General features: G+C 37.5%; 1 protein-coding gene across 3 annotated transcripts in view; it reads right to left on the bottom strand.

Annotated features, from left to right (window-relative positions):
* The window catches only part of ATP7A (ATPase copper transporting alpha), a 139,703-nt gene that overhangs the window by 31,919 nt on the left and 88,513 nt on the right, over positions 1-19,271 (bottom strand). Inside the window, exons 6-12 of one of the 3 annotated variants that reach the window (NM_000052.7) lie at positions 15,241-15,404; positions 9,214-9,375; positions 7,225-7,301; positions 6,803-7,028; positions 5,365-5,598; positions 3,724-3,815; positions 2,596-2,723 (exon numbers count right to left, since the gene is read on the bottom strand). The exons of 1 other annotated variant lie outside the window; for it this stretch is intronic. In NM_000052.7, coding sequence (NP_000043.4) covers positions 2,596-2,723; positions 3,724-3,815; positions 5,365-5,598; positions 6,803-7,028; positions 7,225-7,301; positions 9,214-9,375; positions 15,241-15,404 — 1,083 coding nt within the window. The remainder of the gene's footprint in view (positions 1-2,595; positions 2,724-3,723; positions 3,816-5,364; positions 5,599-6,802; positions 7,029-7,224; positions 7,302-9,213; positions 9,376-15,240; positions 15,405-19,271) is intronic. One more of the 3 variants, NM_001282224.2, reaches the window with a different exon arrangement.

Raw genomic sequence — 19,271 nt, 5'->3', positions numbered from 1 at the left:
GCTGGAGTGCAATGGTGCAATCTCGGCTCACTGCAACCTCTGCTTCTTGAGTTCAAGTGATTCTTCTGCCTCAGCCTCCCAAGTAGCTAGGATTACAGGCATGCTCCACCACACCTGGCTAATTTTATATTTTTAGTAGAGACGGGGTTTCACCATGTTGGTCAGGCTGGTCTCAAACTCCAGACCTTAAGCGATCCACCAGCCTCAGCCTCCCAAAGTGCTGGGATTACAGGCATGAGCCACTGCGCCCAGCCAAACTTGTTGAATGGTTTTGATCAAAATGCTGACAGTGATGTGAACAATGAAGTCCAAGCTGAGGTGGTCTCAGATGGAGATGAGGAACTTATGGGGAACTGGAGTAAAGGTCCCTCATGCTATGCTTTAGAAAAGAGATGGGTGGTGGCCGGGCGCGGTGGCTCACGCCTGTAATCCCAGCACTTTGGGAGGCCGAGGCCGGCTGATCACGAGGTCAGGAGATTGAGACCATCCTGGCTAACATGGTGAAACCCCGTCTCTAATAAAAAATACAAAAAATTAGCCAGGCGTGGTGGCGGGTGCCTGTAGTCCCAGCTACTCCAGCGGCTGAGGCAGGAGAATGGGGTGAACCGGGAGGCAGAGCTTGCAGTGAGCCGAGATTGTGCCACTGCACTCCAGCCTGGGCGACAGAGCGAGACTCCGTCTCAAAAAAAAAAAAAAAAAAAAAAAAAAAAAGAAACAAGAAAAGAGACGGATGGCATTTTTCCCCCACCCTAGAGATCTGTGGAATAGTGAGCTTGAGAGAGATGATTTATGATACCTGGCAGAAGAAATTTTTTAAGCAGCAAAGCATTCAAGACATGACCTACATTATTCTGAAAGCATTCAGTTTTATGTGTTCACAAAGAGATGGTTTGAAATTGGAACTTATGTTTAAAAAGGAAGCAGAGCATAAAGGCTTGGAAAATTCACAGCCTGACAATGCAATAGAAAAGAAAAACCCATTTTCTGGGGAGAAATTCAAGCGGGCTGCAGAAATTTGCATAAGTAACGAGGAGCCAAATGTTAATCGCCAAGACAATGGGGAAAACATCTCCAGGACATGTCAGAGATCTTGGCAGCAGCCCCTCCCATCAAAGGCCCTGAGGCCTAGGAGAAAAAATGATTTTGTGGGCTGGGAACCAGGGCCTCTGATGCTCTTTGCAGCCTCAGTGGCATCGTATCCTGCATCCCAGCAGCTTCAGCTCCAGTCATGGCTAAAAGGGGTCAAGGTACAACTCAGGCCATTGCTTCAGAGGGTGCAAGCCCCAAGCCTTGGCAGCTTCCACGTGGTGTTGGGCCTGCAGGTGCACAGAAGTCAAGAACGGAGGTTTGGGAACCTCTGCCTAGATTTCAGAGGATGTATGGAAATGCCTGGATGCCCAGGCAGAAGTCTGCTGCAGGGGAGAAGCCATCATGGAAAACCTCTGCTAGGGCAGTGCAGAAGGGAAATATAAGTTTAGAGCCCCCACACAGAGTCCCCAATGGGGCACTGCCTAGTGGAGCTGTGAGAAGAGGGCCACTATCCTCCAGACCACAGAATGGTAGAGATCCACCAACAGCTTGTACTGTATACCTAGAAAAGCCACAGACACTCAACACCAGCCAGTGAAAGCAGCCAGTGGCAGGGGCTGTACCCTGCAAAGCCACAGGGGTGGATCTGCCCAAGACCTTGGGAGCCCACTTCTTGCATCAGCATGACCTGGATGTGAGACATGAAGTCAAAGGAAATCATTTTGGAGCTTTAAGATTTAATGACTGCCCCAACGGATTTTGGACTTGCATGGGGCCTGTAGTCCCTTTGTTTTGGCCAATTTCTCCCATTTGGAATGGGAGCATTTATCCAATGCCTGCACCCCCACTGTATCTTGGAAGGAACTCGTTTTTGATTTTACAGCCTCATAGGTGGAAGGGACTTGTCTTGTCTCAGATGAGACTTTAGATTGTGGACTTTTGAGTTAATGCTGAAATAAGACTTTGGGGGACTGTTGGGAAGGCATGATTGGTGTTGAAATGTGAAAAGACATGACATTTGGGAGGGGTCAAGGGTGGGATGATATGGTTTGGCTCTGTGTCCCCACCCAAATCTCATCTCAAATTGTAATCCCCACATGTCGAGGAGGGGAGGTGATTGAATCATGGGGGCGGTTTCCCCTATGCTGTTGTCATGATAGTGAGTGAGTTCTCATGAGACCTTATGGTTTTATAAGCATCTGGTATTTCCCCTGCTAGCACTTCTCTCTCCTGCTGCCTTGTGAAGAAGGTCCTTGCTTCCCCTTCTCCTCCACCATGATTACAAGTTTCCTGAGGCCTCCCCAGACATGCAGAACTGTGAGTCAATTAAATCTCTTGGCTTTATAAATTACCCAGTTTCAGGTATTTCTTTATAGCAATGTGAAAATGGACTAATAGCATAACTAAAGCCACAAAGTAAATCTGAGGAAATTGATTTAATACAGTCTTAAAAGAACTTATTCTCTCTGTTCATAATTTAGTTATTCATAGCTTCTACAAAAAGTGCTTCATCTTTCATGTCTATTTTTCTTAACATTTTGGTCATGATCCTTTGAAAGAACATACCTGTGATGAGGGACTCATCTACCATAGAATGTCCTTCAATAACACGACCATCCACTGGAAATTTGCCTCCTGGAACTACTTTAATGATATCTCCACGTTGTACAAGTTCCACATCCACTTGTTCTTCACTGGATATAAGTTAACATAAAAAGCACCATGATAATATGCTTCCTACCCTGACCTCTCCATGTAAGCTCTTTAGTTCACGTCAAGCTTGTGGCTCCATAATTACTGCCAATGGAAGCTAGAACCAACATTTAAACTAGGAACTAGTATGTCAGTCTTGCTTACTGTTAGTGAACAGCACAGTAGCTAGCACAAAGTAGGCACTCTATTTTTTTGAACAGTCATTAAATTAAAAATGAAAGTTTTAAAAAATAATGTAATGGGTTTCATTTAACTAAAAATTTCTTTATTATGTAACTTTGCCTAAACAATTTTATTAGTATAAAAATGAGAAATACAAAAGAATGAAATATAATCAAGTCTTTAGCTTTATCTTCCAATTTACAAGTAACATAGGAGTTATAGAACAAGTTAAATGAAACCAAAAGGAAACAAAGGATAAATTCACATTGTGGGATATTCTACAGAACAACTGATGGCTATTTCTTCAAGTCAATTGTTTTGTGGGGAGGAGGGAAGGAAGGACAATGAGGAGAAAGAAGAGAGGCGCTGTTTTAGATTAAAAGAACATAAGCCATATGATAGTCAAATGCTATGATGCATGGATCTTGTTTGAATTCTATTTCAGGCAAAGAGACTTAAAACATTTTGGAGACAACAGGAGAAATGTGAATATGAATTGGGTCTTAGGTGACATTAAGGAATTAATGTTCATTTTGTTAGGTACAGTACGGTAGTATAGTTATATCAGAATATATCCTTTTTTAGAGATAACACAGAATATTTAGCCGTAAAACAATATGACTGAAATTTGGTTTAATACTACTGCAACAAGAAAGACAGACAAAATGGATAGATGAAGTATGGCAAAATGTGGATAATTTTTATATCTGGGAGACAGATTATGTGAATTCATGATAGTCCTTTTTCTACTTCTGTATATATTTGAAATTTTTCTTAAGAAGTTAAAAAAAGAGAAGAGGGAAGAGTGAAGATAAATACCTGAGGAGGATATTATCAGAATCAAGAGTTACAATAGTTGCTTCTGTAGCTTGTAGTGAAATTAACTTTGCAAGAGCCTCTGATGTTTTGCCCTATAAATTAAAACAAACACATTGAAAATGCTAAGGAAGAAAAAGTTCAGGTCTTAACTAAAATAAAAATACAATCTTTAGCATTTACCCAAAAGACAGCTTTAGGAATATTAATTTGTTTAAAAATTAATATGAAAATGTTTCACTTCAAAATGTTTGAATGTTTCACTTCAAAATGTTTCACTAGAAAATGTTTCACTTCAGAAAGACGAAGTACACAAAATATTTTATTATTTATTTATTTATTTATTTATTTTGAGACAGAGTCTCACTCTGTTACCCAGGCTGGAGTGCAGTAGCATGATCTCGGCTCACTGCAACCCCTGCCTCCTGGGTTCAAGCAATTCTCCTGCCTCAGCCTCCCGAGTAGCTGGGATTACAGACGCGCGCCACCATGCCTGGCTAATTTTTGTATTTTTAGTAGAGATGGGGTTCACCATGTTGGCCAGGCCGGTCTCAAACTCCTGACCTCGTGATCCACCCACCTCGGCCTCCCAAAGCGCTGGGATTACAGGCATGAGCCACCGCGCCCAGCCTAAAAGTACACAAAATATTTTAAAAGTATTATTAGGTATAATTTATGAAGAAATTATATAAATTAATAAGAAAAACATGAACCCAATAAACACACAGGCAAAGGACATATATAAGCAAATCATTCAAAAGGAAATATAAACATCCGATGATGAAAAAATGTTTATCCCCACCATTAATGGAAGAAACACAAACTAAAGTTACCCTGTAATACCATTTAATGTCTATTAACTTAGAAAGAATTTGTGGGGGGGATGCAATGCTGGTGAAGTTGTAGTAAAAATACTTCACTGACATACCCCTGCTGGCAAAAACTGTTACAACTTGTACCATGAACCAGAGAAATATTTATGCCCTTTAACCCAGTAAACACATCCTTTGTAATGTCTTCTAAGATATTAGCTCAATGGAAATGACTATTAGACATGAGTATGTTCAATGCAGGATTATCTAAAAATAAAAAATTAGAAACAATCTAATGGTGAAAAACACCTGAATGGTTTATTAAATTAAAGCAAACTGATGTGACAGACTTAGTCAGAAATATTAGATAATAATCTAGACTGCAAAAATGGTGAAAAACTTTATAGTGTTAAGGGTACAAAGTAGTATGAATACTACATTTGCAACTCTGTTAAGTAGAAAGGTATGTAGAATGGAATTAGAAAATGATTTACATTATAGCAAGGGAATATGGGTGAATTTTTTCTATCATTATTTTAAACCATGTGGTCATGTCAATTTTTCAATTAATAATGTAAGTAAATAAGTGATAAGTATTTCTCATTTGTCTCTCTTAAAATAAACAGACATACTGTACTATCTACAGTATTAATTCCATATTTGGTAAATCTTCTAAACTGATATTTAACTTAAAATATTGCCAAAATGAAAATACGTCTTTCAGTAAATGGTTAACTACATAAAAGCATGTATTTCCAATGATTGGCCTAAAAAATACTAAGGTCATTTATCCACCCAACATTTTAACAAATGTCACCCTTTCTTACTTTACCTTTGCTATATGTTCCAGCCATCGGCCTAGTGCAATAAACACAAACAGCATAGGGGGTGTGTCAAAGAAAGTAATAGGGTTCACTTTGGCTCTCTCATACATTGCAACTAGAAGAATAATCAAAGAGTAGGCAAATGCAATGGTGGTTGCCAGCACAATCAGTACGTCCATATTTGCTGTCTTATGCTTCAGTGCTTTATAAGCCTGAATGTAGAAGTACCAGCCTCCGAAAAACTGCAATATAGGAATGATAATCATTGAATTTTAAAAAATGCTGAAATTCACATATATATCTCAATAACTTAAAGTATCAATAGTCACTTTCTTTGGCTTTTAGCTAATCCATAAACACTAAAGGGAGATTAAGCCAAAACAATCGTGTTTGTATTTCAATAGATGTACATGCAGAGGGAGGTATTCAAATTGCTGCACAAGCCTGTGGGGCTATCATCTATGATCCAATGGATATTCCATAATACAAGGAAAATCAGATATTTCTTCCTTTTTTTTTTTTTTTTTTTTAAGAGACAGTCTTGATATGTTGCCCAGGCTGGTCTCAAACTCCTGGCCTCAAGCAATCCTCCTGCCTCAGCCTCCCAAGTAGCTGGGATTATAGGCATGAGCCATCACACCAAGCAGATTTTTCTTTCTGAGGCTAGCAAAAACAAGAACTAAGAAAGGAATTACATTTTCTCAAGGATTTTTTTGTATAAAACTCACCCATCTTTCCAAAACTCAAACTAACTGGTATATCACAAGCTACGAAATCTGTTGGCCGTTTTTGTTGGTAAATATAACTGGAAAGCTTATTTCATTAAAACAGAGAAACTAAGATGTTTTTTAAAATCATTATTGCCTTTTATAAGGATCAGATAAAGGAAAAGATTTATTTGATAGAAGTATTCTATTCCAAAGTAAAAGTTTATCTCGAAAAAAGAGTTTAAAACATACAGAAAGTAATGAACTGAAGTGCCAGGAAGAAATAACAAAAATAAAGTCATTGAGCTGGGTGCAGTGGCTAGTGCCTGGAAGTCCCAGCTACTCAGAATGCTGAGGCAGAAGGAATGCTTGAGCCCAGGAGTTCAAGACCACAGTGAGCTGTGCTTACACCACTGCATTCCAGCCTGGGTGACAGAGCAAAACCCCATCTCTAAAAAAAAAAAAATAGATAAATAAAAATTTAAAAATAAAATAAAGTTATATACAGTAGCAGATATAAATACCAAACCCAAAAAACTTGAACTCTTTCTTAGGGGTTAAATGGCATCTATTATCAACTTAAATAACTACCCAGTTGAAGATTATTTTTGTAAAGCATATGGCATAAAATGATCAGACTTCTAGCTAACATCAGTTTTGTAGCTGAAAATAAACCTTGCCTGCCAAATTTTGCTTATTTTTTATTATTAACAAATATATTTGCTAACAATTCACTTGCCTGTACAGGTACACACAATAAAAAGGACAGCAAATTCATAACAGACAATCCTGGAAGAATCTGGCGCTCCAGGAACATAGAAGAATGAAGGTTGATCATTTCTTCTTTACTCATGTTTTGATTATGGTGAAGAGTTGCAAAGTGGTGGTCCATAACCATCATATATATCATCAGCCCCATTACAGGAATACAGAAAAACAGACTCACAAGAAAAGACCGTCTCCATCTTATATGGAAAAAATAAAAAAAGAAAAATCATGGTCATAAATAGCTAATGGGTAAAGATTCTACATACTACAGAGAGATATACATTGTGACCATTTCATCCAGTATAAGGATGATATTATAAAAACTGACATGCAAAAAAAAATTTGTAATAAGGAGTCAAAATCTGTTTTTTACTGACACTCCAAAGTACTTACTGTCTTATTTCTCGTTTATGATCTAAGTGACTTGCTGACCGATCCTTCTTGACCAAAGAAGCTTCAAAACCTAAGCTCTAAGGAAATTCATGAGAAAAAAATTATTTCACTGAACATATAAATATTGTATAGAGAAATTCTAAGCCATGGTATTGTCATTAAGAACAGTTCAATTACTGAGGGCAAGTCACTCTGGGGAATACAAAGATGAAGATGTGCTTCCTGCTCTTGATTGCATTTGTTTCCAATCTTTCATCAAACAAATAAATATTTCCTTAATGCTAGTTAATATGTATCCTATATATAAGAGTTTAACTCAAGTACAACTGTCCTCAGTAGAGGTTCTCATTAATAGGCCATAAAAGCTAGCACCAGGCCGGGCACGGTGGCTCATGCCTGTAATCCCAGCACTTTGGGAGGCCAAGGTGGGCAAATCACAAAGTCAGGAGTTCGAGAGCAGTATGGCCAACACGGTGAAACCCCGTCTCTACTAAAAATACAAAAAATTAGCTGGAAATAGTGGCAGGTGCCTGTAATCCCAGCTGCTCGGGAAGCTGAGACAGGAGAATCGCTTGAACCCAGGAGGCGGAGGTTGCAGTGAGCTGAGATCGCACCACTGCACTCCAGCCCAGGCGACAGAGTGAGACTCTGTCTCCAAAAAAAAAAAAAAAAAAAAAAAAAAGCTAGCACCATACTAAACATATTATTCAAGGCCTTGCATATGCAGTATTTAGTCTTGTTTTATCAGAAAAAGAACATGAACAAAAATCATTTTCCCCAATAAAACAAAGTATAAAAAGGAAACTACCCCTAAGCAAGACTTATCTGACCATAGATAGTAATACACATTACATTTCCAACTGCTAGGGGAAATGCTGCCATCTTACATTTGTTGGCAGTGCACAGTGAATAGAACAAGCATGAGCTTTTGGAGTCAGAGTAATTAGGCTCAAATCCCAGTTATGACAGTTATTAGCTATGTGACTTTGGATAAGTAACTTAACTTCTCTTAACCTGGGTTTCCTCACCTCCAAAATGAATATGACCACATTGCTGTGGGAATTAAGGGTTGAAGCTTTGCAATCTTGGTAACTGGCACATAGCAGGTACTCAGTAAAACTAGTTTCACAAAAATGGTAATGATAATGTCATCTATACAAATAGGATCTTAACTGAACTAATAAAATGCTTTAAATCACTTGAACACCAATTCTATAGCATACTGAAACTTTTAAAATACATTCACATGTATTACCACTTAAGACTTATTGAAGAACACAGGATGAATCTGTCACAAAGAAAGGATTGTGTTTGTTTGTTTGTTTGTTTTAGAGACAAGGTCTCTCTCACAGTAACCTTCAACTCCTGGACTTAAGCAATCCTCCTACCTCTGCTTCTCGTGTGATTAATACTATGGGTGCGTGGCACCACACCTGGCTAGTTATTTTAATTTTTGTTGCAGAGACAGGGTCTCGCTACATTGCCCAGGATGGTCTTGAACTCCTGGCCTCAAGTGATTGTGCCCTCTAGGCCTCTCAAAATGCTGAGATTATAGGCATGAGCCACTATGTCCAGCTGGGTTTAGTCTTTTAAATTTCTTACTTTAACTTAAAAATAGGTCTTTTGTTTTGACCTAACAAACAAAAAGCCATCAAGCAGGATCCTTCACTTTCTTAGTAACTAATATGAATCTTATTTATAACAAATTATACTTTATTTCCATTTTCTAAATATTTTAAGTGTTTTGTGGTTCTAACTTGTTTGCTCCTGATTAATAGTGTAAATGTACCTTTGCCTAACTTTTCCTGAAAAAGACCAAAAAAAAAAATGCAGACACGTTTACATTAAATTTTGAGACAGATCTTGTTTGAAGTGTTCAAAGGAGTTAGATTTTTTTTCATTGCCTCTATCTGATGCAAACCAGAAATGATTCACGGGAGTGCTGATTAAATAGGTAAGAACACAGAAACATAAATTCTTGGCACTTACTTCAATTGTATGGATAATATCTCTAGGACCAATAATTTCTGGGTCATATTTAATATGTGCTTTGTTGGTTGCCAGGGCCACGGAGCAGTATAGGATCCCTCTGTGTTTTGTGAGACTAGACTCTATTTTATGTACGCAGGAGGCACACGTCATTCCCCTCACCTGTTAAAGACAAAGCATTTGTTCTTCAGGAATATACTTTTTCCACCATTAAACATGAGTTACCACTTTTTTTTTTTTTTTTTTGAGACAGAGTCTCTCGCTCTGTCGCCCAGGCTGGAATGCAGTGGTGCGATCTCGGCTCACTGCAACCTCCGCCTTCCAGGTTCAAGTGATTCTTCTGCCTCAGCCTCTCAAGTAGCTGGGGTTACAGGCATGTTCTACCATGCCTGGCTAATTTTTTATCTTTTTTGTAGAGACAGGGGGTTTCACCATGTTGGCCAGGCTGGTCTCGAACTCCTGACCTCAAGTGATCCACCATGCCCAGCCCGAGTTACCACTTTTTACTAAAAGGACTCATGGGTTTGCCACACAAGATCTTAATTGCACTACTAGTATGCTTTAGATATGATCATTAGGATACCATTTTTATACCACATTGAACAAATATATGGTCCCAGATAGAAGAGGATCTCATTAAAAGTCTCCAAATTCCTGTCACTACTACTCAGTGATAGAGGATTTGACATTTATTATTGTTTCTTGTATCCAGTCTTGCTTCCCGCTGGATTTTTTTTTCATCCTGCTGAAGTATATAATCACTAGTATAGCTTTCAGTGAAATTAATGGATGGCAAAAGTGTTTTGACTTTGTATGTCTAAAAATGTATCTTTCCCTATATCTTGAGTGGGGTTATAGTTTAGCTGGGCGTTAAATTATAAAATGGATGGGCATGACTTCTAGAATGACTGCGTGAGGAGCTCAGCAAATCCTTTCCTCAAAAAGCAATGATAAAACTGACAAAAGTATCAAAAAACAGCCATTGAAATACTCTGGAAATTGACCAAAGGGCATACCACAAATTAAGAAGGATTTATTCAAGAATATCTGCTGAAGGTATATCAGTGCAAATGGTGCAGTAAGACCTCTAAAATTCTCTCCTCTGTAAAAGCAATGAGAAAACTGGCAGAAATTGTAAGAACCATCTTTTTCCAGAAATCTGGAAATCAAACAAAAGCTTGCAGCAATCTAGGAAGCATTTATTCAAGAAAACAACATGGAGTACAAAAAATAGAATGAATAAGACATAGTATTTCATAGCAGAACAGGATGACTATAGTCAATAATAACTTAATCATACATTTAAAAATAACTAAAAGAGTATAAATGGATTATCTGTAACACAAAGTATAAATGCTTGAGGGGATGGATACCCCATGTTATATGATGTGTTTGTTACTCATTGCATGCCTGTATCAAAACGTCTCATATACCTCATAAATACAGGCACATGCACCTATGCTGTACCCAGAAAACTTCTGTGCTCTAAACAACACCGCCAACGAAGAGGCAATACCAGAATGGGAGAAAATATTTTAAAATCATATATCAGATAAGGGACTTGTATCTAGAATATATAAAGAATTCTTACAACTCAGTAATAAAAAGACAAACAATCCAATTAAAAATGGGCAAAAATGGTCGGGCGCGGTGGCTCACGCCTGTAATCCCAGCACTTTGGGAGGCCGAGGTGGGCGGATCACGAGGTCAGGAGATCGAGACCATCCTGGCTAACACAGTAAAACCCCATCTCTACTACAAATACAAAAAATTAGCCGGGCATGGTGGCAGACGCCTGTAGTCCCAGCTACTCGGTAGGCTGAGGCAGGAGAATGGTGTGAACCTGGGAGGCGGGGCTTGCAGTGAGCCAAGATCGCGCCACTGCACTCCAGCCTGGGCGACAGAGCGAGACTCCGTCTCAAAAAAAAAAAAGGTAAAAATTCGAATTGTTTCTCCAAAGAACATTTATGAAAGGCCAATAAGCACAAGAAAAGATACTCAACATTATTAGTCATCAGGGAAATGCAAATCAAACCAAAATGAGATACCAGTTCACTTCCACTGGGATAGCTATAATAAAAAGGTAATAGCAAGTGTTGACATGCATATGGAACAATTGGAACGTCAATACAATGTTGGTGGGGATATGAAATGGTACAGCTGCTTTAGAAAACAGTCTGGCAGTCCCTTAAAAGGTTAAATATAGAGTTACTAGATGACTTAGTAATTCCACTTCTAGGTATATCCCCAAGGGAATTAAAAACATAAGTTCACACAAAAACTTGTATATGAATGTTCATAGCAGCATTATTTATAATAGCAGCAATATTCATAAAGTGGAAACAACCCAATTGTCCATCAACTGATGACTAAATCAACAAAATGTAGTATATTCATACATTGGAATATTATTTGGCAATAAAAAGGAATGCAGTAATGATACATGCTACAACATGGATCAACCATGAATACACTATGGTAAATAAAAGAAGCCGGTTACAAAGGACCACATATTATATTATTCCATTTATATGAAATGTCCAGAATAGGCAAATCTATACAAATACAAAGTAGATTAGTGGTTGCCTAGGGTAGAGAGAGTAGAACCAGTACAGGTAAGAGATTAGGACTAAAGAATGACTACTAATGAGTTTTATTTTAATGGGGATGAAAATGTTTTGAAATCAGATAGTAGTGATAGTTGCACAAGTCTGTGAATATACTAAAAACCACTGGGTTGTACACTTTAAAAAGGTGAGTTTTATGGTATTTCAAAAAAGCTATTATTTTTTAATCCTTAAAAACATATAAAAACCTACTCATTCTTTTTCATTGTTTTTAATAGCTACTCAGTATCCCATGATATGATTGTATCATAATTTTAGTCCCTAATGACTGAAATTTAGTTTTTCCTCATATTTTGCTATTGTAAACAATACTATAATGAACATCTTTGCATACATGTCATTTCATACATATGCAAAAATGTCTGTTGGATAAATTCCTACAAGTGGAACTTCTGAGGCAAAGGCTATGTGCAATTTCACCTTTGACAGATATTGCCAAATTCCTCTGTTGGCATCTTGTATCAATGTACACACCACCAGCAATACATGAGAGATCAGAAACATAGTGTTAACAAAATTGTTAACTTTACCAATCCAATAAGTGAAAATGGTATTTCAGTGCCATTTTAATTTGCTTTACTCATTACGAATGAAGTTGAACATCTTTTCATGTTTAAGAGGTATTGTTTTTGCTTTTCTGTGAACTGTCAGTTCATATCCTTTATCATAGAAAAGAAATTTTGGGGTGCTGACGCTTGTCTTATTGATGTATAAAAGTTCTTCGTATATGAAAAAATTAACCTTCATCTATGATATGAATTATAATTATTTTAATTGCCTTTTGACTTTCCATTTGGTGTCTTCATCCCAAGAAGAAATGTTTAGGTATCTGAATTCATCAATCTATTAATCTTTTCTTTTATTGGTTTTGTATCATATTTTAGAAAAACGCTTCCAAATCCAATATTGTTTTTTTCTTCTTTTTTTTTCTTTTTTTTTTTTTTTTTTTTTTTGAGATGGAGTTTCACTGTTGTTGCCCAGGTTGGAGTGCAATGGCGTGATCTTGGCTCACTACAACCTCCACCTCCCGGGTTCAAGTGATTCTCCTGCCTCAGCTTCCCGAGTATCTGGGATTACAGGCGCGTGCCACCACGCCCGGCTAATTTTTTGTATTTTTAGTAGAGACGGGGTTTCACCATGTTGGCGAGGGTGGTCTTGAACTCCTGACTTCAGGTGATCCACCCACCTCAGCCTCCCAAAGTGCTGGGATTACAGGCATGAGCCACCGCACCCAGCCTCCAATATTGTTTTATAAATGAATTAGATGTTATCATTGGGAAAAGCTAGATGAAGGCTACATGGAAATTTTCTGTACTTTTTTTTACTTACTTGTGAGTCTAAAATTATTTCAGTGATGTATTGATGGATTGATGTATGATAAAGCAAATATAGTAAAGTATTAATTGTAGAATCTAGCTGGTGTATATAGGATATCTACTGTACAATTCTTCTGACTTTTCTGTATGTCCGAAAGTTTCATAATATTGAAAAAAAATGCTCCAAATATTTCTTCTAGTAATTTCATGGTTTCATTGTTTACATTCAATTTTGGGAGGCAGGCAATGTCTCACTCTGTCACCTAGGCTGGAATGCAGTGGCATGAACACAGCTCACTGCAGCCTCAACCTCCCAGGCTCAAGCAATCCTCCCACCTCAGCCTCCCAAGTAGCTGGGACTACAGATGCACACCACCACACCTGGCTAAATATTTACTTTTTAAATTTTTTATTTTTATTTTTATTTTTTTATTTTTTGAGATGGAATCTCACTGTGTCGCCCAGGCTGGAGTGCAGTGGCGCAGTCTTGGCTCAGTGCAACCTCTGCCTCCCAGGTTCAAACAATTCTCATGCCTCAGCCTCCCGAGTAGCTGGGATTACAGGCGCATGCCACCACACCCAGCTAATTTTTGTATTTTTAGTAGACACGGGGTTTCACCATGTTGGTCAGGCTGGTCTTGAACTCCTGACCTCAAGTGATCTACCCACCTCGGCCTCCCAAAGTGCTGGGATTACAGGCGTGAGCCACCATGACTGGCCTAAATTTTTACTTTTTGTAGAGGCGGGGTTTCACCTGTTGCCTGGGCTGGTCGTGAACTCCTGGGCTCAAGTGATCCTCCCACCTCGGCCTCCCAAAATGCTGAGATTACAGGCGTGAGCCACCACACCCAGCCTACATTTGAATTTTTGCTTAAACTGGAACTTATTTTGGTACAAGATTTTTTGTTTTAATTTTTTAAGTTATACAAATAAATTTAAATACATTCTAGCTGTAAAAATTTCAATGTTGAAAAGATGCAAGTTTCTCTTTGATCTTCTCCCTCAATCCCGCTCTCTTCCTGAGATAAACAGTGTTAATCATGTGTATATACTAGTCCTTTCTCTAGGTGTTTATATACATATGTAAGTACACATACATGTAGTTTTGCATTTTTTACTAAATGAGATTATGCCATAAGTATTACACTGCAACTTGTTTTGCTTAAGTAAATAATACATCCTGGAAATCTTTACTTGTCAGTTAATATTGATCTATTTTACTCTTTTAACATCTGTATTGTATTCTATAATATGTCTATACAGAATTTATTTAAACATTCCCTATTAAAGGACATTTAATATAGATTGGTTCTAAATTTTTGCTCTTAAAATTATATAATAAATATAATCTTATGAATGTTCACATTCCTTTTTTTAAAAAAACAAAGTCTCATTCTGTCACCCAGGCTGGAGTGCAGTGGTGTGATCTCAGCTCACTGCAACCTCCGCCGCCTGGGTTTAAGTGATTCTCATGCCTCAGCCTCCCAAGTAGCTGGGACTACAGGAGCACACCATCACACCTGGCTAATTTTTGTATTTTTCATAGAGATGGGGTTTCACCATGTTGGCTGGGCTGGTCTCGAACTCCTGACCTCAACTAATCCACCCACCTCAGCCTCCCAAAGTGCTGGGATTTACAGGTGTGAGCCACCATGCCCAGCCCTATATGATCATATTTCCACAGGAAAGAATCCTAGCAGCTGATTTGCTGGGTTGGAGAAAGTGATCACTTTAAATCAATATGCCTTACACAGGTTTTATGACTTTATAAAATTTGAGTCTTTAATGCACTGGAATTTATTCAATTACATGCTACTAGATAGGAATCATATTATATTTTAAATGTTAATTTTCATTTATTCATTCATACCCAATTCTTTTTTGGTTAACAGAGATACGACAATTATCTTTTTAAATTCCATGCTTGAAGAGTACCATTAGATCATACCTTATCCTTCCATTTTCCAGTTTCCTTAATTTTCATAATATTTTCCCCACCTTTAATTATCTTCACAACTCTTCTCTGAACCTTACCAAGTTTTTTTTCTGGAAGTTTTATTAATCACACAAAAAATCTTACTTACAACAAGTTCCAAAACACCATCTCCTTCATCAGCATTTTCTATCACAGTGGCTCCAAATCCAAGTTCTCGGATGAACTCTGCTATCATTGGGGGTTGTATAACAGCAGGATTATACCTTACTTCTGCCTTGCCAGCCATCAGGGCCACAAGTATAGAATATATTCCTAAGAGCATTGATAAGAAAAACAATACAGATAACATTCTTTTTAAAAAGAGTAATGTTATAATTACTTCTTAGTATTATCAAGTATGAAAGGATTTCTCTTAAGTATTAAAGGATTTGAATCTGGAGAAATTTAACTTTTATACCAGTCTTGACCCCAAACAATTAGAACTATTCCAAAACATAGCCTGATTTTTCTTAAACTTTTTATTATGGAAATTTTCAATTATGTGTGTGTGTGTGTGTGTGTGTGTGTGTGTGTGTGTGTGTGTGTATAAGAACATAATAAACTTGACGTACCTATCACCTTGCTTCATAATACTTGGCTAATCTTATTTCATATACATTCCTACACCCTCCACTCGCTGCTCTCTACCTGGATTATGCTGAAGCAAGTCCCAGACATCACATCATTTCATGTGTAAATATTTAAATATGTATCTCTAAAAAATAGACTCTTTTTAAAAAACCATAATACCATTTTCACACCTAAAATAATTCTTCAATATCATCAAATATCCAGGCAGTATTCACATTTTTAAAATTGTCTTATAACTGTTTACTAGTTCAACAGTTTTTTGTTTGACTTGGATGCAAATTAGGCCTATGAATTGAAATTGCTTGAGACTGTATCTTGTAAATATAAAGCATTTTTAGAAATTAATAAGACAGAGTACTAGAGAAAGGGACTCGGCTGGGCATGACGGCTCATGCCTGCAATCCCAGAACTTCGGGAGGCCGAGGAGGGCAGATCGCTTGAGTCCAGGAGTTCGACACCAGCCTGGGCAATATGGCAAAACCCTGTCTCTACAAAAAAAAAAAAAAAAAATACAAAAATTAGCTGGGCATGGTGGTGCATGCCTGTGGTCTCAGTTACTCAGGAAGCTGAGGTGGGAAGATCACTTGACCCTGGGAGGTGGAGGCTGCAGTAAGCAGTGTTCATGCCACTGCAATGCACCATGTGTGACAGAGTAGGATCCTGTCTCAAAAAAAAAAAAATAGAGAAAGGAACTCATGCACTTATGAAATCATAATTGTAGCAAAGAATCCAATAATATACCAACATACACATTATAATATTATCAAATAATAGTCATTTATTTAAATTATCAGGTTTTAGTGTCTGGCACACAGTAATCTAAAAAGCTCTTATTCCTAGAAAAAAAGTCCCACGCAACTTGTTAACCAAAAAAAGGAGTTCATTTTATGGCAGTCATGCTGTTCACTAGTGCAAACCTTTTTTTTTTTAACAACCATTCCACTTTTCTAGGCCAGCTATTGCTGTCATTGCCAGGAAGAAAATTAATTCTACATAGCAAAAATAGAAGTTCTTTCTAGGATTCTGTGGCATTTGATGGCTACCTGACAGGGAATGGGGATCAACAGTCCATAGGTCAAGTCTGAGGTTTGATAAAAAAAGAAAAAATGATTAAATATTAATTTAATAGCTTTAAATAAGTAAACAGGATAGTGGGGGTTGTAAGGGGAAGTGGGGATGGTTAATGGGTACAAATAAAAAGAATGAATAGGACCTAGTATTTGATGGCACAACAGTGTGACTATAGTCAATCATAATTTAATTGTACATTTAAAAGTAACAGAATATAATTGAATTGTTTATAACACAAGGATAAATGCTTGAAGAGATGGATACCCCATTTTCCATGATGTGATTATTATGCATTGCATGTTTGTATCAAAACATCTCATGTAACCTATAAATATATATACCTATTATATACTCACAAAAATTAAAAATTAAAAAAGTAGATAAACGTATACACAGTGAAAAAAAGAAAAAATACCTAATATAATCTAATTTTTCTATATAAAGTGCTTACATTTTGGGCTTTGTTGGTATCAAACAATTCAGGTGATCAGTTAATGGGAAAGTGTCAGTAATATAGGAAAGGTATAGAGAAAGTAGGAAAAAATCTTTTTGCTTCAGCTGAATGTAATCTATGGGCAAACAGAAATAGAAGGGAAAATTTGATTTTTCAAATGTCAAAAACATAAGTTCAATACTTATGTAAATTGCAGATAATTTAAAAAAACTCTTCAAACTATAATAAGAACTCTTTCTGTTCATTTTTTAAAAATATAACGCAGGGCCAGGTGTGGTGGCCCATGCCTGTAATCCTAGCACTTTGGGAGGCTCAGATGGGTGGATCACTTGAGGTCAGGAGTTCAAGACCAGCCTGGCCAACATGGTGAAACTCTGTCTCTACTAAAAATACAAAAATTAGCCAGGCATGGTGGCATACACCTGTAGTCCCAGCTACTAGGGAGGCTAAGGCAGGAAAATCGCTTGAACCCAGGAGGTAGACGCTGCAGTGAGCTGAGATGGTCCTACTGCACTCCAGCCTGGGCAACAGAGTGCGATTTGTCTCAAAATATAAATTACATATATATTTATATATTATATTAATATACATTTATATATTTATATATAACATATATTATAAAATATATATAAATATATATGTATGTTGCAGACTAAATTGAGAGAAGACCAATGCTACTTAGTTAAAAACAAAATGAATGTAGTGACTCCAGCTAGGCTAAAGTTATTTCTAACTGGGCTAAGAGGTTGTAAAGGGGATAATATGGAAGTAATTGGAAAAATCAGCTTAACAGACTTAAAAAAAATTGTAACTGGCATAGGCATTGCTTGTCTCATGAAGAAAGCTATTTCTGAATTGCCCCAAAATAGTTGGTTCTTAAATTAAATAGAAACCTTGAATGCTTCTTTTCATTTTCATTTGCTTGGCAACCTCCCTCCTTTTCTTTTTTAATTAATCTAAAAAAAGAATAATAGAAGCTTTAGCCTTGAGTGCATTCCAGTTAGAAATAATGGAGGCTAAACTGAAGCAGAAATCATAGAATGCAGACAAGGTAATATTGAACTGAAGATGACTCCGTATACCATACATTTTATTATAATAATGTTCTGCCCTTAATATATGAGGTGAGGTGATTACTACATACATTTTGAGTAATTTTCTCAATGGTGGGGATAAGCTTATACTAGTCCATACTTCTTTATTTAGCTCTGTGACTAACCATATGTATCATTAAGACACCTAGGGCTAGGGCAGCCAAAGTACCAAATCTATGACTTTGATCTCATGAAACCTCATCACATATCTTTTTTTTTTTTTTTTTTGAGATGGAGTCTTGCCCTGTTGCACAGGCTGGAGTGCAGTGGCTGGCACGATCTCAGCTCACTGCAACCTCCGCCTCTCAGGTTCAAGAGATTCTCCTGCCTCAGCCTCCCAAGTAGCTGGGACTCCAGGCATGCGCCACTACACCCAGCTAATTTTTGTATTTTTAGTAGAGATGGGGTTTCACCATGTTGGCCCGGCTGGTCTTGAACTCCTGACCTCAGGCGATCCGCCCACCTCGGCCTCCCAAAGTGCTGGGATTACAGGTGTGAGTCACCGTGCCTGGCCATCATCACATATCTTTATGGTTAACAAATCTACTGTGCTATACTGGGAAGTCTATAAATATGAGTGCAAATTAATAAGCTAAAACATCTGAGTGTGACTGAATTTAAAAAACTGTGGTATACATTTTCTAAGATTGTGTAACCTAAAATTAACACTTGTATACAATATTAAGTAACTTGTGAACATTTTTACCACAAGCAAAGAGAAAAATATAATTCTAAACAAACTTGTTTTTGGTCTGGTGCTTGGTCTGGGTATAGTAATAATGAAATTCTTAAATATTCTATTTGTCAGTTTTAGGCATAGCTTTAGAAGAAAATTTATGGGCCGTGTGTGGTGGCTCACGCCTGTAATCCTGGCACTTTGGGAGGCCAAGGTGGGTGGATCACCTGATGCCAGGAGTTTGAGATCAGCCT

The sequence above is a fragment of the Homo sapiens genome, chromosome X (assembly GCF_000001405.40).
Source record: "Homo sapiens chromosome X, GRCh38.p14 Primary Assembly".
In the NCBI taxonomy this organism is placed as follows: Eukaryota; Metazoa; Chordata; class Mammalia; order Primates; family Hominidae; genus Homo; species Homo sapiens.
This window is presented reverse-complemented; position numbering and strand designations above follow the sequence as displayed.